The sequence below is a fragment of the Homo sapiens genome, chromosome 6 (assembly GCF_000001405.40).
Source record: "Homo sapiens chromosome 6, GRCh38.p14 Primary Assembly".
Lineage (NCBI taxonomy): Eukaryota > Metazoa > Chordata > Mammalia > Primates > Hominidae > Homo > Homo sapiens.
In genome coordinates, this window is record NC_000006.12 from 144,177,471 (window position 1) to 144,201,328 (window position 23,858).

Sequence of the window (23,858 nt, forward strand, 5' to 3'; positions counted from 1 at the left end):
GGGAGCGGTGGCTCACGCCTGTAATCCCAGCACTTTGGGAGGCTGAGGCAGGCGGATCACAAGGTCAGGAGTTTGAGACCAACCTGGCCAATATAGTGAAACCCCATCTCTACTAAAAACACACAAAAAATTAGCCGGGTGTGGTGGTGCACACCTGTAATCCCAGCTACTCAGGAGGCTGAGGCAGGAGAATTGCTTGAACCCGGGAGGCAAAGGTTGCGGTGAGCCAAGATTGCACCACTGCACTCCAGCCTGGGTGACAGAGGGAGACTCCGTCTCAAAAAAAAGAAGAAAGAAAGCTCATCTACTGTCCTTTCCTGCTGTGGCTTCTATGCACCTGACTGTAAAATTTACATCTCCAAGTGTCTGTATTCTGTTATTTCAGAGAGTTAATAATTTTATGGATTTTTTTTAAAGTTGTGGTGACTTACTCCCTGTTTTTAGGACTGTAACAACTGAAGTGTTGCAATGTTGGGGAAACTCTGATATGAAGAAATTTGTGTGGGAAAGAAAGTAGTGATTCTAATGGTGACAGTATTTCCATGTGTTAATCCAGTTCTAAGAATTAGATGCTAATAATTGTTCCTAATAGAAAAGCTCAATTAGGGAATACGTTTCCTATTAGACTAACGATTTTAAAAGAAGCCTTCTTGTGGGGAGTTTAGGAAAAAGAAGCTAGTGTAGCTTTGTGGATTACGGATGGATTCTCAAGTAGTCACACTTTTGGGATTTATATCTCAACTCCATAACTGTATGACTTTAGGCAAACTGCTTAAACTCATTAGGCCTCAAACCTGTAGACTGGGGATGATGATAATACCTCATAAGGAATAAATGGGTTAATACCTGCCCATTGCTGAGTACCGCATTTGGCATTTTACAAATGCTTAATAAATGTTCACTGTAGAGCAGAATGTATGAAACCTACACAGGAGTAGCTGCTTTGATTTCCCGTGCATTTCTACAGAAAGCATCTGAAAGCATATTGCTAAAAGTGAAATCCCAGCTACCCACTGGCTGTTTATCAACTGTGCATATCAAACTGCCTTTTTCTCTTCACACACTGGCAGAAAATTCTGATTGAGGAAACTGAAAAGCGAATTATGTCAGAGGGCATCAAATGAGTAAAGTGATTGAAAAGTAGAGGCTGTCTCCTCCAGCAGTGGTTTGAATAACTCCTACCTGCTTTCTGCTTTAGAGCAAAGAGAAAACAAGAGACATTTAAAAATTATTTCTTCTAGCCTCAGACTTTTATCGTTATAAACCATTTCAATTAATACTCTTCAGCCTTTCAAATTTTGCTTTGAATGAGCCCTAAGACAATATTAAATGCGTTCTTGCCCAATGCACTTTAAGATACGATACAAGCTTTTTTTTTTTTAAATTAACTTCGGAGCAGCAAGAAAATTAGAGCTATTCATTAGGAACTTTTTAGTTTTAACCTGTAATGTTTTGATGTTCAAAGAATAGTGTTTCCCTCTGTATTAGTCTGTTTTCATGCTGCTGATAAAGACATATCTGAGACTGGGCAATTTACAAAAGAAAGAGGTTTAATGGACTTACAGTTCCACGTGGCTGGGGAGAACTTACAATCATGGTGAGGCAATGGTGAGGCATGGTGAATGCAAGGAGGGGCAAGTCACATCTTATGTGGATGGTGGCAGACAAAAAGAGAATGAAGAGGATGCAAAAGCAGAAACCTCTAATAAAACCATCAGATCTCATGACACTTATTCACTACCACCAGAACAGCATGGGGGAAACCGCCCCCATGATTCAGTTATCTCCCACCGGATCCCTCGCACAACGTGTGGGAATTATGGGAGTACCATTCAAGATGAGATTTGGGTGGGGACATAGAGCCAAACCATATCACCCTCTTAGATGTGTCATTTTAAAAATCAAGAAACAGAACACTGGTTTTACTCAGTTGAGTGAAATTATTGTTTATGAACCTGTTGGGGAAAGTCCATTTGTTGTTCTTTAAGGGCTGTGTTACTATGGGGTATGCTAGAAAGGAACTGCTAAATTACAGTGACACTCTACCTGTGGAATTTCTAGGTGCCTCTGGTAGCGGGGATGTGTGGGCAGGAGGGACTGGATGAGGTGGTTGAGAAAGGGGTACACAGGGTGACCCCATGGGGCTGTGCAGGTTGTGATCTCACCACAGATGAGAGAGACTGGCAATCCAACCATGCTCAGCTCACCAGGATGCATGCCCTTGGGCAGGGCTTTATCCACCCAGAGAAAGGGCCCTTTCCTAGCTTTCACAAAGATACTATATAAGCCCAACACAAAACCTCATTAAGGCACCCTATAGACCAATAGTGGACCTTCTGATTTGTAATAATCACTTTAATCATATGTTTACAATTGGTATAAAATTAGGACATAGGAGGTATGTCATAGAATCTGAAAATCAGAACTTGGGTACTGTGCGTAAGTCCTGTATGGAGTGTATATCTTGGGGACAGGGTCTGTTTTGCTTCTGAAATAGCCGAATTCCATTTGCAAAGACTCTCTTTTTCTTTCTCTTTCTCTTTCTGTGTGTGTGTGTATCTACAAGCTGATCTCCATAATAAGCTTCACAAGGTTTGCTGTGTGCCTTGAGCTGCTCTGTATTGCATATTCCCATGTCTGAAAATTTCTCACTACTTGTAAAAATACTTTAACATCTTGCTGTGAAACAGGAAAAGGTTTTGTTTCCTGGTTTTGGCAAAATTTGCTTAATGCATATATTAGTCTTTTGGGGCTGCCTAATAAAGCTTCTCCTTTATTATCAGAGAGATACTATGTATGTCACTTTAAATAATTCCCTTAGAGGCATGTTGGGAACAATGACTTTCACAATTGTTCTTTGTAGCATCCAGTGTCTTGGTTATTTATGTGTGATATGGTTTGGCTGTGTCCCCACCAAATCTCAACTTGAATTGTATCTCCCAGAATTCCCATGTGTTGTGGGAGGGACCCAGGGGAAGGTAATTGAATCCTGGGGATTGGTCTTCCCTGTGCTATTCTCGTGATAGTGAATAAGTCTCATGAGATCTGATGGGTTTATCAGGGGTTTCTGCTTTTGCTCCTTCCTCATTTTCTCTTGCCACCACAATGTAAGAAGTGCCTTTCACCTCCCACTATGACTCTGGGGCCTCCCCAGCCATGTGGTACTATAAGTCCAATTAAACCTCTTTTCTTCCCAGTCTTGGGTATGTCTTTATCAGCAGTGTGAAAATGGACTAATACAATGTGATTGTCACCTCCACTCTTTGGTCTGCTGAGGTAGGTGGAAACCTGCTTTCTGAATTGTTCCTTCCTGATATGACAGAAAATTTTAAGATTCTATGTGCCAAATATAGTAGGCTATTCAAAGCAGGATCTAGGTCTCAATGGCTAGAATATTTAACTAATAGAATATCACCATCCTTCCTTGTTCCCTGTGAATGCTATCAGAGTATTTATTCATGTACCTGAGGGTGCCTCATCATAGTAAGCTCAGTCTTCAATTTTATTCATACTCCCATGCCTGCAACAATTATAATTTTCCATCATAAAATGAAGGGATCAGAATAAACTATTTCAAACATTCTTGATTCCTTTTCCTTTTGAGCTTCAGAGATTGTTTTTATGAAAGTGAGTTTTCAGCTGACTTTCTTATTTAGCCTCCATACCAGGGAGCCAGAAGGCAGTGCTTATGAAAGCCACCATCTTTCCAGTGGGGGAGAGAGGCCAGTAGCTACCCCTTTTCCTTCTCTATCAGGTTTTTGCTCATCGAGATTGCCCCCAAGCTAGGAATTATTATAAGTTCTCCAGAATTGCATGATAATTATGAATAAAAAGCTGACATGGGCCAGGTGCAGTGGCTCATGCCTGTAATCCCAGAACTTTGGGAGGCTGAGGCAGGTGGATCACCTGAGATCAAGAGTTTGAGACCAGCTTGGCCAACATGGTGAAACCCCATCTCTACTAAAAATACAAAACTTAGCTGGGCGTGGTGGTGCATGCCTGTAATTCAAGCTACATGGGAGGCTGAGGCAGGAGAATCACTTGAACCCGGGAGGCAGAGGTTACAGTGAGCCGAGATAGTACCACTGCACTCCAGCCTGGGCAACAGAGCAAGACCACCTCAAAAAAAAAAAAAAAAAAAAAAAAAGCTGACATGGTAGGTATCTATGGAATGGGTCACAAATTTGAGTATGCATTATAATCACCTGGAGATCATCCTAGGCCTACCGAATCAGAAACTCTAGGTGCCCAGGCATCTGTAATCTTTGAAGCTCTCCAGAAGATTCTGTCACCTCTTGCAGACCGAGGACCACTGAGCTACCATCATCTCTTTGTTCCTTTGTTTTCTCTTACACAAAACTTTATTGCTCAATGAAAAAAGGCTTAAGCAATACCCCCTTCCTTCCTTATTGGATCTGGTTTTCAGTACAGATTATATGCATGCCTGAAAAGAAAATTAGAAAGCAGAAGCAGATTTTTGGTAGTTGGTTGTCAATTTTCTTTTGAATTCTTCACCTCCATGCAAATTGAAGCAGGACTTATTTTTAGCAACTTGATGAATGCAATTTACCAAAGTTTATTACATTATCTTTTATTACAATAAGACAGGAAGGTCAGTGGAATTGTCTGATTTTTCTTTCTCATTTACCATAGTTCTCTTTCTAGGAACTCATAGTACAGAATCAAGCTATGGGATATATAGGTTATTTTGATTCTCTATTTGTGCCCACTTCTATATTTTTGTATAACTTCAGTAGTGTATACACTTTTAACCTTTTTGGAGACATTCTTAGGAATAGCAGTCTCTTCGTTGACTTTCTGTTGTAGTTTTCCTAATGTTTGCTCCCTGGTGACCAGGAGACCTTCTATGTCAGTGGAGACAACTCATCCAAGGCTGGCTGAGCCAAGAGAGGTGGGCAGGAAGGCCAGGTGAAGGCCCCCTTCCCTCCTTTACCACACCTCAATAGAGAATCTTTATGTCTCCTGTACCCTTTCTTTTTCTCTTATTAGCACATTATGGACTTGCGCCTTCACATGAGCTTGGGCCCTTACCTGATTTATAATTTGCTATCTATGACTTTATGGTTGTTCAATCTTGAGAAGGAATGACTGTCCCTGGACATCTTCCAAAACCATTTTCTATATGATTGAATTGTACTTGACTCTTCTTATTGTGATGAGATGATTTCCCCCAATAGCTTTTTAATGGCTGTAGGAGAGCAATACAGAGCACAGGACCTGTCTAGGATAAGCAGGATACATACAAATGATCCCTAGTGTCCCAGGGCGTGGTACAGTCCCTTATCTACCCATTTCCTTCCATTGAAGTGCCTTGTAAGGCTTGGCCAACATGTAAGGAAGGAAGGCATCTCTCACCTATTCTTGCCTTGTTCATCAAAATGCATCCATTCCATCTCATCCACTTGTTGCATGGTAGACTATATTGGGTACTAACTTAAGCAGATGGGTACAGCTCAACTCTACGCAAACTAGCTAATGTGCTTTCCCCAGGTAGCATAAAATGTTAACTTGATTGCCATGCATAGACTTTTAAAAGTTGCTAAGGAGTTAGTCCTTTAAACGAATAGTATTTATTGTTTTATGGGGGTTTTTAAATTATGAAATGTGTGTGGACATTATAAAAATTTTGGAAAATACAGAAAAGCAAAAGGAAGCAATTTAAACCATGTATAATTCCACAACTCAAAGAAAACTATAATTAACACTTTGATGTGTATTACTCAAGTTTCTGTTTCAGAATGCTGCACATTCTCTTTCTCCATAACTACTTTTTATGCCTAACAGAGTATATATGCTTTTCATGCCATTAGATAGCCTTCTAAACTCTGTGACTTATGTAGAAGCCAGGACCTCATTATTGTGCATTTAACTTATTTCTGAATTTCTGCAAAAACAAGGTGGTGATGAAAATATTTTGAGCAATGAGTTTCATACACTTTTGCATTATATCTTTAGAATAAATGCACATATGTCAAAACAAATGCACACTTGAAAAGCTTTTGATACATATTACTAAACTGACTTCCAGAAAGATTCTATCAATTACCAATTTTTTAAAATAATGAATAGACTTTGTTTGCAAAATCATTAAGTTGCAAAAACAAAGACACCACAGGAGTTTTAAATTAGACTTTTTTTTAATCTAGAAAAAAAATTTAATGTACTTGCTTAGTTCAGCAGAAGCTGAGAGAGGTCTCAAGACCCTGAACAATAATACTGATTTTATTATTTTATCTTATTTTATGTTTTTAAGTTCCGGGGTACACGTGCAAGATGCGCAGGTTTGTTACAGAGGTAAACATGTGCCATGGTGGTTTGCTGCACAGATCATCCCATCACCTAGGTTTTAAGCTCAGCATGCATCAGCTCTTTTCCCTAATGCTCTCCCCTCCCCCGCACTTCCCCGACAGGCCCCACTGTGCATTATTCCCCTCCCTGTGTCCAGGTGTTCTCATTGTTCACCTCCCACTTATAAGTGAGAACATGCAGTGTTTGGTTTTCTGTTCCTGCATTAGTTTGCTGAGGATAATGGCTTCCAGCTTCATCCATGTCCCTGCAAAGAACATGATCTCATTCCTCTTTATGGCTGTATAGTACAGTCTAACATTGATGGGCATTTGGGTTGGTTCCGTGTCTTTGCTATTGTGAATAGGGCTGCAGTGAACATTGACATGCATGTGTCTTTATAATAGAATGATTTATATTCCTTTGGGTATATACCCAGTAATGGGATCGCTGGCTCAAATGGTGTTTCCAGTTCTAAATCTTTGAGGAATTGCCACACTGTCTTCCACAATGGTTGAACTAATTCACATTCCCACCAACAGTGTAAAAGCATTCCTATTTCTTCACAACCACCATCAGCATCTGTTGTTTCTTGACATTTTAATAGTCACCATTCTGACTGGCATGAGATGGAATTACCAGTATGTTTTGAGAGTTCCCAGAATCCTTACCCATTTGAAAAAGTATTGTTTTTAAAAAATTCCTGCTAACTTTATGGGCAAGAAAATTCTCAGCAGTTTAATTTGCATTTCCTTGTTTAATACAGAAGTCTTTTGTGACTATATTTTTATACTTTTGCTAAAGATTATTTAGTGCATTGGTTAAGTGGTGCTATTCTAACGCCTGAGTGTTCACTTACTGATGACCTTGAGTAAATTCCTTGATCTCCCTATGCTCACACCAACTCTGATAATGGCAGTACCTACTCATAGAATCTGTATGAAGACTAAAGAGGGTATCACATGAAAGATGCCTAGAAAATATCAGGCATATATAACATACGTTTATGTTCTCTGTCATTTACATCTTCTCTGAATTGCTTCACTGTCTTTGGGTAAGTAGATTTTTTGGTAGCTTAGAAATATATATATTAAGTATCTTAACCTCTTGTCTGTCATATATTATAATTTCTCCCCAGTTGGTGGTTTGTCTTTCAATTTTGTTCAAAGTGAGGAAACAGTTGAATATCAAGAAATTCAGACCAGGTGAAGGCATAGTTTTGGTCCAGGGTGGATCTTTTTTCTGCCTGTCAACCATACTGCTAGGAGAATCACCTTCCCCATCCGTGAGAAGGTCTGGTATTGATTATAGCCACCAGATATCAGAAATGGCACTTTAAGCAGCTTACATTGTTACATTAAAAATCACCATCATAGAATAAAACTTCTGCTTAATTTATGTAAATAATGATCATGGTAGATGAAAGGCCGTGGTTAATATTTCACCATTTTCCATTTACCACCAAATCCAACTTGTCAGCATTCCATTAGTGGTGATATAAAATTAATTACTTCAACTTGAAAGAAGCTTTTAATTTGAGACCAAGAACCCTGATAGATTGCGTAACCATTAAGTGTTACTACTTTTCCCCTCTTTGCTGCAAATTGTGTAGTAGAAAAAGAATCTTTCTCATCATGAAGTCTTGTGTATAAACACAAGATATTCCCTATATTAGCATATATACATGCTACTAAAAATGAAAGTTTTTCACTTCACTGAAAAGCAATATGAACATAGAGACTATTACTTTGCCTTACTAAGCAGAGGAATTACCAGAACCATCCTTGTAAAAACATGAACATTCTGCTTGAGCTGCCAACTTGTTTCAAAAAGCTATTAAAAGTGGGCAAACATTGCTGCTACATGATGAATGAATGGGAGTGTGTTGTAGTATTGCTACTAGGCCACGTATGATTGGAATTTTCCACATAAAAGCATTTTAAAAAGCAGTGTTATTTACGATGCTTATCATTAGGGAATGATATTGAGAAGAGGAGTAAGGAAACCTCAACTTCTAAATTTTACACTTAGATTTCTGTATTTTGTTGTCATTTTACTTCAAGCATGTTTTACTTTTACAACATCTTCAAGAGAAAAAAATTTAAATCATGATTTGCATGGTAACTGTTTTAAGAGTTGTTAGTGTGTACAGGAGGGGATGCTTCCCAGTGCCGAAATAGACACAAAATAGGCAACATTTAGATGTTGGCCCCAAAGCCTTGTAGATTATCCTCAATTAAAAATACTTAAGTTTGCAAGTCTTTCTTCTTCTTTTTTCTTTTTTTTTTTTTCTGTGTCTGTTTTAATTTGCAATGATTGGAAAACATAAAGCAATGAAAAGAGATGGTTTCCCAATGCAATCTAAAATTTTCACACACCAGGGCCTGTTGTGGGGTGGGGGGAGGGGGGAGGGATAGCATTAGGAGATATACCTAATGTAAATGATGAGTTAATGGGTGCAGCACACCAACATGGCACAGGTATACATATGTAACAAACCTGCACGTTGTGCACATGTACCCTAGAACTTAAAGTATAATAAAATATATATAAATAAATAAATAAATAAATAAAATTTTAAATTGCTCATTGAGTTCTGCGCGGCTATGATATTGAACTGCAGGTGCCTATAGGCCTTAAAACACAACTGTTTCATGTTGTTCAGTCATCTTATTTCTTTCCTTGTAAGCAAAATGTCAGAACATTTAGCTCCTTTAGTGCACTTATTGCCCACACCGAGGAATACAAAATTGGGACTGCTGAGTAAAATGTTTAAGTTTCAATCCCTTGAAGGCAAATATTTGACTCTCAATAGAGAAATTTAACTTCATTATCTCTACTTGCAGGCAAAATGAAAGACCGGCTAGCAGAACTTCTGGACTTGTCCAAGCAATATGACCAGCAGTTCCCAGACGGGGACGATGAGTTTGACTCGCCCCACGAGGACATCGTGTTCGAGACGGACCACATCCTGGAGTCCCTGTACCGAGACATCCGGGACATTCAGGATGAAAACCAGCTGCTGGTGGCCGACGTGAAGCGGCTGGGAAAGCAGAACGCCCGCTTCCTCACGTCCATGCGGCGCCTCAGCAGCATCAAGCGCGACACCAACTCCATCGCCAAGGCCATCAAGGCCCGGGGCGAGGTCATCCACTGCAAGCTGCGCGCCATGAAGGAGCTGAGCGAGGCGGCTGAGGCCCAGCACGGCCCGCACTCGGCAGTGGCGCGCATTTCGCGGGCGCAGTACAACGCGCTCACCCTCACCTTCCAGCGCGCCATGCACGACTACAACCAGGCCGAGATGAAGCAGCGCGACAACTGCAAGATCCGCATCCAGCGCCAGCTGGAGATCATGGGCAAGGAAGTCTCGGGCGACCAGATCGAGGACATGTTCGAGCAGGGTAAGTGGGACGTGTTTTCCGAGAACTTGCTGGCCGACGTGAAGGGCGCGCGGGCCGCCCTCAACGAGATCGAGAGCCGCCACCGCGAACTGCTGCGCCTGGAGAGCCGCATCCGCGACGTACACGAGCTCTTCTTGCAGATGGCGGTGCTGGTGGAGAAGCAGGCCGACACCCTGAACGTCATCGAGCTCAACGTACAAAAGACGGTCGACTACACCGGCCAGGCCAAGGCGCAGGTGCGGAAGGCCGTGCAGTACGAGGAGAAGAACCCCTGCCGGACCCTCTGCTGCTTCTGCTGTCCCTGCCTCAAGTAGCAGGCCGGCCCGGGCCGCCACCGCCCATCCCAGACCATGGAGCGCGCTGGGAAGGACGCACCAAAGCCGGGAGCTCTGCCCTGCAGGGAGTTGCCCCAACCCTTTCCGGAACTCAGTCTTTAGAAAAGAAACGCCAGGTTCAAGAATTGCAAACCAGCCTGTGCTTGGAAAGATGGTTAGTTGATACCGTCCGATGATTCTTCAGTAAAGATAGATTCCCACAAAGTTGTGCAATGTCATTATATGACACCTTGCACTCTTACCGTCTTGACAGAAGCCAAGTAAGGAACTGAAGTTGTATCTGACTGTAGGGTGAATGTCTGAGGCCTGCCTCCTAATAAAGACTCAAGGAGGAAGTCAATTGGGCATCTGCTAATAGAATGAACTCATGATGGAAACTTCAGTTCATTTACTTTGTCCTGAAAATTCCCTGGTTCTGTTCCATTTTGAGCGAAATTGGCCTTGGGAAAAACCACGTTCTTCCTTTCCGATTCTTCATCCGGTCTACGCTATGCAATTCCTCCCCAAATATAGATCTTATTTCTGCTCATTTCCCCTACTTATTAAAATCACACCAAACACTTACTATTTTCTTATCTCTTTCACTTTTTAAATATCTTTCACCAGGTTATATTTTGGTATTATTTTTCCAAACATTTTTAAGCACTGAATATCGAACAAGCACTCAAATTGAAGTATCAGTCATGTTTTGTGTATTTTTCGCTGATAAAAATTATTTAACATTTATATTTTTACTTGATTACATATGCACATGTATGTAAATGTAAAATACTAATATTCACTAATATATGTACATAATGATCAATTGGTTTAACTTCTTTTATGTAAGTATGGTATATAAATTTCAAGACGAACACTTTTCTGGCTCTTGGTATTGGTTTGCTTGTTTTGAGTTTGTTTCACTCCAGTTTGCCCCTTCCTAGTCCAGTTTGGGTCAAACTTCATGTTAAACAACTCTGCATTGGTTATGGCGGTAGACATATGGCGGTAGAAAATGTATACGGAGCTAGAGACAACTAACATTCTTGGAAATACTGCTTTTGTTTTACTGTGGACCATTCCTTCCATGCATTGAAATGGAGAAATTCAAAGTAAAAGAATTCTGTTTTTCAAGCAAGCTTAATAAACATTACATTATACACATATTTTTATACATTTCTGGCTTGACCATTTAGTTTACTTTCTCAATTATTGTTAAAATTTTTCTTTTTCCTTTTTTTTTTTTTTTTTTTGAGATGGAGTCTCACTGTGTTGCCCAGGCTGGAGTGCAGTGGCAGGATCTTGGCTCATTGCAACCTCTGTCTCCCAGGTTCGAGCGATTCTCCTGACTCAGCCTCCTGAGAAGTTGGGACTCTGGGCGCGTGCCACAATGTCTGGCTAATTTTTTATGTTTTTAGTAAAGACGGTGTTTCACCGTGTTAGCCAGGATGGTCTTGATCTCCTGACCTCGTGATCCGCCCGCCTCAGCCTCCCATAGTGCTGGGATTACAGGTGTGAGCCACCATGCCTGGCCTTTTTTCCCCCCTTTTGAGACAGGGTCTCCCTTTGTCACCCAGGCTGAAGTGCAGTGGCATAATCATGGCTTACTGCAGCCTTAAACTCCCAGGCTCAAGTGATCCTCCCACCTCAGCCTACAAATAGCTGAGACTACAGATATGTGCCACCATGCCCGGCTAATTTTTGTATTTTCTGTAGAGACAGGGTTTGCCATGTGGCCCAGGCTGGTCTCAAACTTGTGAGCTTGAGCAATCCGCCCACCTTGGCCTCCCAAAGTGCTGAGATTACAGGCCTGAGCCACTGACCCTGGCCAAATTTTTTTTCTACTAGCTACTGAGGCTGCCACATCTGGATGGAACTGAGTGGAGGGGGAAAAGAATGAAAAACTCAAAAGAATTCCCATGAGGGTGTCTTGCTTTCTCTCCTGAGTTACAATACTTTAGCAAAATCATGAGGCTTTAGAGATATGGTGTAGTCTGCAAACTTCTTAATGCCCTTACCCACATTTACCATGTTTCCTGGCCTTCCTCTGTGTCAACTCTTAGCTCTTCCTAATCATTATTTAATACATGAGTGAGTTTAGTAGTGATCATATTTCTCAGGTCCTTTAGAAGCTGGAATTTTAAAAGAATTAGAAGGAGGAGTATGTGAATTCTTTGGAGCTCACTGCCTGACTTGCTTATGACCAGGAAAATCTATCCCCTGTATCTAATTTTAATTTCATGGTTAAATTTGAGAATTGTGGAAACCAAGTTCCACAAGGCTATTCTCATATTTCTCCCAATTTCTTTTTCAGCCAACTCCAAGGATATGTATCACCTTTGACTTAATTTGCTTTCTCTAAGGGAAAGGGGAAAAAATGTTCACATAGCTCCACTGCAATGTTTTTTATAATAGAGGAGAGATATTGTAAATAGAGACTGCCAGCCAGTTTCCACAAAAAAACGAAGAGTTCATAAATTTGACATGTTTGAACCCATAAAGCATTTTCTTTGCTTGGAACCATTATAAAAGTAAGTGAGTTTTCAGGCTCTATATACATTTTAATTCCTCACGTTTTATATTGGAGAGTTCGGTACAGACTGTCCATTACTGCACCAAAAGAATGAGTGAACTGTTACCTATAGGGAAAGAACACTTCTTCTTCCTGCTGTTTGGGAACCATCTCAGTGTGGCGTAATGGTTAGGAGTACAGATTCCAGATCCTGTTTCTTAGATTTAAATCTTGACTCTGCCACATACTAGCTGTCTGACTGAACCTTGGTTTTTCTGTGCTTCAGTTTCCTCATCTGTAAAACGGAGATAACAGTACTTACCTCATAGAGCTGTTGTGAAAAGTGATGACTGAATATGTAAAAGCACCTAGAACAGTGCCTGGCACATGCTAAGTGCTTTGTTCATTATTGTTGTTATTATGTAATTTTCTCTCAGACTGAGAGCACTGTTAGTGACCCAAGTAAATTTATAGTTTTTAAGTACAGAGGAAAAATAAAGCCTATTTTTTGTTAACAGTCTTAATAAATAATAAAATGGAATAAAGAAACCAAGACCCCATCTTCTGTGAATATTAGGGCTTTTTTTTTTTTGACAGTCATAAAGATGTTTTCACTATGGCATTTCTATCCCTGTGTATATCCAAACATGTCCTGAAGAAGAAATGAGATGTTCCACCAAAAACACGTAAGCAGGAAGCAGCTGTTCTGCTCAGCTTGGCAGGTGTTCTTTCCTAATTCTTCCCAAGCTGTGAGTCAGAAAGTCCTGGAAGGAGTTGTAGGAAGTTGTAGAGGCTGGGTCACTGACCTAAGAGAAGGCATCATTTGGCCCACTGCACGTCCTGGCCTATTCACCAAAGCCCTTCCTGGCTCTGACTGCCACACCAGGCAGTGGGTGAAATGCTGGCTTTTTCCTTAAGAAATTGTGTTCTAGTGCCACCAAGAGATGCTGTAGAGCTGGCTTTACCAATCTCATGATGCTTGCTTGGCAACTCTGAAAGGTGACTTTGGCCAAGAAGACCTTGTGGCAATTCTGCAAATTTTATACACTCATATCTTTTAGGGTACAAAATGAAAGAACAAATCACAAAGAACAATAGATCCTTCAGGAGCTGAAGGTAAGAATCTTTTATAGCTATTTTAACATATACAGTGACTACTTTCTACTAGCCAAATATCAAATTTTACAACTACCACCAAGCCACAGATTATAGGTGGTAACAACTCCAGAAATGTCCTAACTAGGAAAGGTGCTCATCTAGTATGCATCGGTATCCAGGATAATATGAGTTAGAATTTTAAAAATGTCAGTCATTCAAAAATATTTGAACTGTGACATCACAGAAGTAATTTTATGGCCTTTTAAGGTAACAACTTAAAAAGAGAACAGTACTCTTTTTATATCAATGCCTTTACATTTATTTAAAAACAGTCCTAATGCTTTATAGTTAAATGTCATATGCAGATATGTTCAGGCTCTAACATATAAAGTTCCTAACTTGACAGGAAACTACTGAAGATTGTGTACAGCTTAAAAAAAAAAATAGGGTAACTATAGTCTTGATTTTTATGTATAAATTCTATCATTCTATATTTTACCATCAGACATATTTCTACTCCTTTCTTTGAAGTATGCGAAGTATCTCCAACTGCAGCATGCAACTCATTCATTTGTAATCAAGACGATAGTTTGAAACACCCAATTGTAATCAGAGCAACAGTTGACTTCCTTTTGATAGCGGAGTTGAAAATCATTGCAATTAATAAAATGGGGCTATTAGAAATGGAAAACGAATAGGATCTAGAATGTAACTTCATCATATAAATGATGAGTGTCTTTGTTATCAACACGTTATTAAGAATGGGCAAGATGTCCTTATATACTAGAAGCTTTTGTAAAGTCATGTGTCTATTGATAATAAAGATTTTCGGAACTGATGTTCTGAGTGAGACTACAAAGGATGCTTTAAAACGAGTGATATCTGGCCGGGCATGGTGGTTCCCACCTATACTCCCAGCACTTTCGGAGGCCAAGGCAGGCAGATCACTTGAGGCCAAGAGTTCGAGACCAGCCTGGCCAACATGGTGAAACCCCTTCTCTACTGAAAATACAAAAATTAGCTGGGCATGGCAGTGCATGCCTGTAATCCCAGCTACCCTGGAGGCTGAAGCACGAGGATCACTTGAACCAAGGAGGCAGAGGTTGCAGTGAACTGAGATCGCACCACTGCACTCTAGCCTTGGCAACAGAGTGAGACCCTGTCTCAAAAAACAAGCAAACAACAACAATAAAACCAGTGATGCCCTGCAAAATGAGGATTGAGAGACAAGTCCCCAACACTATATTTTTTAATTCCTGATGTTTCTTTTTAAGTTACATTTTATATTCTATTTGAAGCATCTATAGACACTTCTTGGACCTCTTCTATTTTTCTTAGTCTATATTTCTATATTTTCATGGTCCTATAGCCAACTCTTTAGACATATCCACTCTTCTGTATCTCAGCATCCCATAATGTTTGATAGAGGGTAAAAATAACAGAGTATACACACACACACACACACACACACACACACACACACAGAATCTACCATCGTCCCCATCCCCTGCTCCTTCTGTCTATCTTAACTTGCAAATGGCAGGATCAATCAACTGCCACCTGCCCAGGTCAGACAATTATCCTCTCTTGCTTCCATTACTTCAGCAGCTTTTAATTGGCCTCTGGCCTCTAGTCTTATCCTCTCCAGTCTAATCTCTGTACAATGCTATAGTACAGCCACAGTGCCTTTTTGTTGTTGTTGTCATTACGCTGTTGTTTTTAATTGCAGTATTATATACATGACTTAAACTTACCATCCTAACCATTCTTAAATATACATTTCATGTATTGGTTGGTTCTCACATTGCTATAAAGAACTATCTGAGACTGGGTAGTTTATAAAGAGAAAATGTTTAATTGACTCACAGTTCCATAGGCTGTACAGGAGGCATGGCCAGGGAGGCCTCAGGAAACTTACAATCATGGCAGAAGGTGAAGTGGAAGCAAGTACATCTTCACATGGTGACAGGAAAGAGAGAGAGAGAGAGAGAGAGAGAGAGACAGAGCAAAGGGAGAAGTGCCACACACTTTTAAACCATCAGATCTCATGAGAACTCACTCAGTGTCACAAGAACAGCAAGGGGGAAATCTGCTCCCATGATCCAATCATCTCCCAGCAGCTCCCTTCCCCAACATTGGGAATTATAATTCAACATGAGATTTGGGTGGGGACACAGAGCCAAACTATATCAGTTCCCATACTGCTAAGTACACTCATATTGTTGTGCAACCAGTCTCCAGGATTCTTTTCATCTTTCAAAACTGAACTCTATACTCAATAAACAAAAACTGCTCATCCCTCCAGCCCCTGGCAACCACCATTCTGCTTTCTATCTCTATGAGCTTGACTGCTCTAGATACTGCATTGAACTGGAATAATATAGTATTTGTCCTGTCGTGTCTGGCTTATTTCACTTAGCATTATGTCCTCAAGCTTCATCCATGTTGTAGTGCGTGTCAGATTTTAAAGCTCAGTAATATGCCATCGTATTTATAGAGTACATTTTGTTTAGTCATTCACCTGTCAATGGACACAGGTTGCTCCCACTTTTTGGCTGCTGTGAATAGTGCCGTTCAACTGCTTAAAACTCTGTAATGGCTGCTGATTGCTGTTGGGATAAAATCTCATCTCCTTAGTGAGGTTCTTCAAGGCCCTGAAGGAGCCAGGCCCCGCTTACTTTCAGCTTCATCCCTGACACCTTTCATTGCTTGCTTGCTTTCCTTCCTTCTTTCTTTCTTTCTCTCTCTTTTTCTTTCTTTCTTTTATTTCTTTTTCTTTCTTTCTTTTCTTTCTTCTTTCTCTTTCTTTCTTCTTTCTTTCTTTTATTTCTTCTCTCTCTCTCTTTTAGAGAGAGGGTCTTGCCTAGGCCGGAGTGCAGTGGCACAATTATAGCTCACTGCAGCCTCAAATTCCCAGGTTCAAGCGATCTTCTCACCTCAGCCTCCTGAGTCGCTGGGACCACAGACACGAGACACCACCCTGGCTACTTCAAAGCACTGCACCCACCCACTCAGTTCCATTGTTGCGTAGGAGCTCCGTGAAGTGCATATTTAAGGACTGCATCGCCCCCATCTTCACGGTGTTATGTGTGCTTCTGTTACTAAACTGCTTTTTTATTTTTAAGGACAACCAATAACATCTTACTTGTTTTGGGATCTTAGCACTTTGCATAGTATCTTTTATAGGCATTTGGGTATTTGTGTTCTACATGCAGAAATAGAGATATTCAGAATTTGTTTTCTGCTATGAGTGACTTTTTGTATAGCTTTTTGAAGATGCATATTTTACAGCATAAAGCACGGTATCTAGTTTCTCCTCCCGGAGGATCTGTGTCGGGTGCTGAGTGAGGCCAGGATGCGGTTGGGGGCGCAGTGTCCTGAGAAGGGGGGTGGGACTTGGTGAGGGGAGGGGACATGGGACTGGAGAAAGACTGCTTGGGAAGAAGCAGATCATGCAGGAGAACGGTCAGTCTGAAAAGGTGAGTGGAGAGAGAATGAAGTTCTGAGTCACGGGCACTGAAGCCAGCAGAACTGGGAGCAAACAGAGGCTGGGATTGGGTGCTGTGTGGCAGAGCCTGGAAGAAATAGCTTAGTCAAGGTACAGACTCAATTTGGATGCAAAGAAAGTTGTAAAACTACATTTTATCTGGAAGTGATTTTCTTTTTCTTTTTATTCTTCAAAGCATGTAAAACAAAGTTTTCTTTTTTTTTAATTTTGGACAAAATGTGTTGGCTTGAGTTTCAGCTGGACATATTTCCATCTAACATGGCATCCAGTAGGGTAATTTGTGCAAAGTACTTAGCTCCCTGCTCCTAGTCACACAGGGCTGTGTGGCAGCTTTCGGCTTCAGTCCTAAAACGCCCTCAGCCACTGAAGTCGCCATGGTATGGTAATGGTCTGAGATGCCTCAGTCTGTGCCTCTGAATATGTCAGGGAATCCCACCACCCCCCACCCCACACACATCCAGACTGCTTATGAATCCATAATACTTACTCAATACAAAAATGTCTAACAGCCTGTGGATTGTGCAGAACAGTAACAGCAAGGGTCTTCTTTTCCTACAAGCGTTGAAGACCAAGGAGAGAATGGAGGACCCTAAACTGCCCTTGCTTGGAGCTGCAAGTTCTCTCCCTGCTGAAGCTGACCCTGCAGGTCGACTGCTGCTTGGGCCTGAAGTGCCTCTCAGCCACCAGCAGCCAACTCTTTGAAAACATGGATTTGGGCCAGGTGTGGTGGCTCACACCTGTAATCCCAACACTTTGGGAGGCCAAGGCAGGAGGATCACCTGAGGGCAGGTGTTTGAGACCAGCCTGGCCAACATGGTGAAACCCCATCTCTACTAAAAATACAAAAATTAGCTCGGTGTGGTGGCGCATGCCTGTAATCCCAGCTACTTGAGAGGCTGAGGCAGGAGAATCCCTTGAACCTGGGAGGTGGAGGTTGTTACAGTGAGCCAAGATCGTGCCACTGTCCTCCAGCCTGGCCTGGGCAACAGAGTGAGACACTGTCTCAAAAAAAAAAAAAAATTAAGAAAAAAAAATAAACAAAAAACAAAACAAACAAAAAAACACATGATTGTGAACCAAATCAAGCAAAGAATCTCCAGGGGGGTAGTGCCTATAAAAGGAATGTTACCCCCAGATAAAAACAAACTATTTAGATTCTACATGACAGAGGAATTTCTCTTGTGGGTAGGAATGTTTAACTAATTCATTCCTTGGCTCTGCTATGTGGTTTACCCTGGTCTCATGCACCCTTAGAAGGGCATAGATGAGGTAACATGGTTTCTTTTCATAATCTTCATCCACGCCTTGTCATCTGGTTTATGGAAGAAACCTGTCAAACAAGAAACGTTACCTAGTGGCAAGATGTTAGGACATGCAGTTACTAGGAGAAAGTAAACGGCCTGGAAGATGAAAGACATGGCCATTTTTTTAAGGCTGCAACTCCACAGGAGGGGTAGCTTCTCCTGTTTTGGCTCCCTGCATTGGCCATTATCAATATTTGAAGTGACTTTGCAAGAAGTTCTCATTTCCAAAAGGAAACCACAGCTTTATTAGAAAAACTTGCATCTCTCTTCTCTGATAAGAGTGTCAGTGCCACATTAAAAAATGGCCTGGCAGAATGCACTATGGGTATGGGAGTGGCAAGGAGAGATCCTTTCCTTCTTGCTAAGAGACAAAAAGGCTTAAAATAAATATTTTTGGAAGAAATAATCCAGTGATGTGAATGAGTTTGAGTTATAAAATGAAAAAGAAGAAAGGAAGAAAGAAGGATGACCTGTTCCTAGACAGAAAGTAAGTCAGGGCCGGGCGTGGTGGCTGACACCTGTAATCCCAACACTTTGAGAGGCCGAGATGGGTGGATCTTTTGAGGTCAGGAGTTCGAGGCTAGCCTGGCCAACATAGTGAAACTCCATCTCTATTAAAAATACAAAAAAATTAGCTGGGCGTGGTGGCACATGCCTGTAATCCCAGCTACTCTGGAGGCTGAGGCGGGAGAATTGCTTGAACCCGGGAGGTGGAGGTTGCAGTGAGCCGAGATCGTGCCACTGCACTCCAGCCTAGGCAACAAGAGGGAAACTCCATCTCAAAAAAATAAAAATAAAAATAAAAAATAAAAAAAGTAAGTCAGAAAGCAAAAACTTGTGCACTCAGAAGGGCAGACCAAGAAGAGAGGGCATGGCCGAGTGGACCAAAACTTAGAAAGTGGAAGCTGAAAATACAAAACACAGACTCTCCTGTGAACTAGTTCAGTTTCTTTACATCTGTATACCAACAAACAGAAAGAGTAAGTAAACAACTCTCTTGGCTGATCTTGTCAAAAGGGACAACAGTTACAACTAGAAGTTGGTAAGTTGTTTTCATTTTCCTCTGTGCATGCCCTGTGAGTATAATTTGGTAAAATTATATATTATGATAGTCTATGGCATAATATTGTTTGGGCTTAAATTCAGTGTAAGTGAGATGAAAATTTTGGAAATTTCTCCTAACAACTAAAGGTATTTACAGATTTCTAACTCAAAACCTTTGCATTAATCTGTGTGTTATTTTATTTTTCCTTTACTTCTCTTTTTTTTTTTTTTTGAGACGGAGTCTTGCTCTGTCACTCATGCTGGAGTGCAATGGCATGATCTCGGCTCACTGCAACCTCCACCTCCTGGGTTCAAGCGATTCTCCTGCCTCAGCCTCCTGAGTAACTGGGATTACAGGCGCACGCCACCAGGCCCAGCTAATTTTTCTATTTTTAGTAGAGACGGGGTTTCACCATGTAGGTCAGGCTGGTCTCAAACCCCTGACCTCATGATCTGCCTGCCTCAATTTCCCAAAGTGCTGGGATTGCAGTTGTGAGCCACCAGGCTTGGCCTCTTTTACTTCTTTTGTTAAAAAAAAAAAAATTTAAGGCCTGCCCATTGTCAGTCTGATAAAATACAAATGCAATTCTTTTCTTTATCTTCTTATTGTATTACTCTTTAATAGGTAAAACTGGGAGAGAACAATGCTATTAATTCCATTTAGTTTATTGTTTATTTGCTTATTCTGCTTTTTTATTCGGAAGAAAAATTTAAGAATATATTTTTTTTCCATTTTCAAAATTGTCACAAAGTCTTAAAAACAAAGCAGATACTGTGTTTTATACCTCAAATGAAAATTCAGAGAAATAGAAACATACCATGTAGCAAGTAAGCAATTGAATTCCTTCTTAAACTTTATTGTAAAAAACAAACAAAAGGAAACATCCATGCATTCAAATATATATTAGCAACTTCTCTGATTTACTTGACAGGAGAAAGAGGCTGGGATTTGCCAATAGCCCACATACTCTGTGTGGACTTGGTTGACAGTGCTCTCCCCCTCCTTAGCTGTACCTGCACACTACACAGCAATAAGTCATCAAATGTGCTTAAGGAGAGCAGGAAAATTTACTGCTACCCAGTGTTTGGTAGCATAAAAACACAGTTACCACATCCATTATTCATGGTATTGGGTCAAATGTGTGAGCCCACACACCGCAGTGTGAAATGGCAAGGGATTCTACCCTTAACTCTTTCCTATCTTTCTAAGTGATCTCATCTACCCTGTGGCTTTGCTACCTTATCCTGATAATTGTCAAACCTTTGTGGAGAGATGGTTGACTGCTTATGACTCTGGCAGCCCTCTTTAGTTTGACTGATAAGGAGCCGACAGAGTGTCAACATCACCCAAGATTCCCACGTGCTGTTAGCATGAGTAGGCAACGTCCCTGGGCAGATGGCATCCAAGCTAGACTCATCTTCCTTCAAGTGCACGACTGCTCTCATTCTCACCATTGGTAAAAGATTGTTTTGAGTAGCAGGGGTCAGCTCATAATGGCTCCAGTTGGGTCCTACCCAAGCATAGTGTATTAGTCTGCTCTCACACTGCTATAAAGACCTGCCCCTGGTCTGGGTAATTTATAAAGGAAAGAGATTTAATTGACTCACAGTTTCATGTGGCTGGGGAGGCCTCAGGAAACTTACAATCATGGCAGAAGGGGAAGCAAACATGTCCTTCTTCACATGGTGGCAGGAGAGAGAAGCGCCAGCAAGGAAAAGCCAGACACTTATAAAACCATCAGATCTCATGAGAACTCACTCACTATCATGAGGACAGCATGGGAGAAACTGCCCCCATGATTCAATTACTTCCCACCAGGTTCCTCCCATGACACCTGAGGATAATGGGGATTACAATTCAAGATGAGATTTAGGTGGGGACACAGCCAAACCATATTACATAGCATGGGATAATCAGAGACTACATGAGCATCATCCATAACCTACTGTCTACTTGACCTCTCTTCTTGAATGGCCCACAGGTTCCTCAAACTCAGTATTCTGTTTTGCCTCCTATAGGCCTTCTTCATTCTGCCAGTTATCTAGAGGCAAAAACATCAGAATCACTTTCATTTGCATCATCTCTGTTCATAGCCAAGTGAAATTAAAGAATTATTGCCAATACTAAAAAAAATTAATATCTGTGGACTACTACACGGCTGATGTCATCTAAAATGCACACCAGATACCTGAGATGTAAAGACGACTATAATTTCCTGTCTGGATTTTTCTAATTGGCCCAAAAAGGAAGTGGTTTATACATCAGAGAATTGTGTTTTGATTCACACTTAAATTTACATAGTCCTTAATGTTAATGGTTGCTCCTTTAATAAATGTCTGTTGCACAGAACTGATATTAATTAATTTTGGTCCTACCTTGCATACATATTTCTTACACATTTGTAAAGTACCTGGGACCAGCTTCTTGTAGACCTGTTGTCCCAGAATGATTTTTAATAGCTACCTATTTCACCTTCAGGAGTGTTTGTGTTTAGGTGATAAAAATTATATTGTCAACCAACATATATATGATATGTAATCTGGATATACCATTGTTTGACATTTTCTAAGTCCACTCTGCCCTTGGATCTCTAACCAGTTTAGTCTGAGACCCCATCCTGAGTAATTGCAGAAAGACCCTTCCTTTCGTTAGATTGTCGCACTCTTTGATATAGAGCAGGTGGGGACAGAGGATGTGGGCTTTCTTCACTGCCAGGTCCCAAGCCCATATTTCTTGCTAGCAAAAAACACAAGGTAAAATAAATATCCTTCAGGAAGAAAGAAAAATTTTCCAGGTGCAGCGACTCACGCCTGTAATCCCAGCACTTTGGGAAGCCGAGGCAGGTGGATCACTTGAGGTCAGGAGTTCGAGATCAGCTTGGCCAACATGGTGAAACCCTGTCTCTACTAAAAATACAAACATTAGCCAGGTGTGGTGGCAAGAGCCTGTAATCCCAGCTACTTGAGAGGCTGAGGCAGGAGAATTGCTTGAACCCAGGAGGTGGAAGTTACAGTGAGCTGAGATCACACCACTGCACTCCAGCCTGGATGACAGAGCAAGAGTCTGTCTCAAAAAAAAAAGAAAAAAGAAAAATTTTAAGTAAAATTATACAAGAAAGAGAGAAAATTTAAAAAAAAACAAATATTGAAATTAAAATACAGATTAAATATGAATGTAATGATTATAAGATAAAACAATTAGACTGATGATCAAGGAAATAAAAAGGTATAAAATATAAAATAAAATAAAAATACAAATTGGATTCATTAGTTTTTTTTTTTAGTTTAAATGCATTTTATTTTTCGACAACATACATAACATGTTTTTCTTAAAAACAATGCCTCCACTCCAAATAAATCACGGTCAAAATAAATGAAGAGCTCAAGATGACATCAGCCCCAATTTGTCTTAAGTCCTGGTGTTGTGTGGATGACAAGCAGAAGCCAGTTACAATGACAGGTGATAGATCAAAGTAATTGCCAAATTTGTTAACATTTTTCCATTTCTAAATCATCCTTAAAGAAAATCATATATGGGGTCACACCATCTTCACGGTAGTCCAATAGAGCAACCATGCCATCTGGATTCATGTTTTCACAATTAAAGAACTGGTAGTTTTTGAAATTAGCAAGGATGTCCTTGATTTGTTTTGCAGCCCCTGTCATAAAAGGTTTTACTGTTTCTGGTCTCTGTTCTTCAAGTTTGGCTTTGATTGATTTCATGTAATCTTTGATATACTTCTTGTAGGCTTCTTTTGTGAAACTTGTTTCCTGCAGGTGATGGTTCATGACAATATCAACACCAGTGATTACTGTGCTTTCTGTACCTTCGCCCTAGGGTCATTCAGCGGAGGTATTACCACCAATGAGCGAGTCATCAATGTTACCTTCTATCCTACTGACCATCTTCCCCTCCACCTCCAGGTACAGCCCGTCCATGATCTCCCAGATCTTGTAGATGTCGGAAAACATCTCATCGTGGCTGATGAGGTCGCGGTAGATAATCATGATGGCGGCTGAAGGGAGACGATGCAGCACTAGCTTAGCAGGAGCCTGAAGCTTGCAGCAAGCGCAGTGCAGCCTGAGCGGTGCTAAGGTGGAGAGGGGAGCGAGCGGGGAAAAAAAAAAGCTAGATTCATTAGTCTTTTATGAAAAATATAAATATGGATTAAAAACAAAAATTCTAGGCTGAACTAGGAATAAATATAATTTCAAAAGGATGTGAAAGTATTATTTTTAATGGAAATATAAATAAAGACAAAGTAGGAAAAACAAAATAGAGGCAGAATACTTAAAGAATAAACAAGTAAAATTGAAATGGGGGAAATTAGATAAAATAAATGAAATAAGATAATATATGTAAAGTGCTTC

At 40.7% G+C, this 23,858-nt stretch overlaps 1 protein-coding gene and 1 pseudogene across 11 annotated transcripts in view, besides 1 other annotated feature; one reads left to right on the forward strand and one right to left on the reverse strand.

Annotated features, from left to right (window-relative positions):
• STX11 (syntaxin 11) overlaps nt 1-14,469 on the forward strand; it is a 51,977-nt gene extending 37,508 nt beyond the window's left edge. For 10 of the 11 annotated variants that reach the window (XM_047419436.1, XM_011536213.3, XM_047419439.1 and 7 more), the window contains one exon: nt 9,153-14,469. In XM_047419436.1, the coding sequence (XP_047275392.1) occupies nt 9,153-10,021 (869 nt within the window). In that variant the 3' untranslated portion in view covers nt 10,022-14,469. Of the gene's footprint in view, nt 1-3,217; nt 3,277-9,152 lie in introns of those variants that run through there. The other variant, XM_011536217.3, reaches the window with a different exon arrangement.
• Nucleotides 9,003-9,503: an enhancer, noted in NCBI's record as "H3K27ac-H3K4me1 hESC enhancer chr6:144507610-144508110 (GRCh37/hg19 assembly coordinates)". NCBI's record gives its function as "activates a minimal SCP1, AML or CMV promoter by ChIP-STARR-seq in naive H9 embryonic stem cells {active_cell/tissue: H9 hESC(naive)}" and the evidence as "EXISTENCE:reporter gene assay evidence [ECO:0000049][PMID:30033119]".
• TPT1P4 (TPT1 pseudogene 4) lies at nt 22,768-23,609 on the reverse strand (annotated as a pseudogene).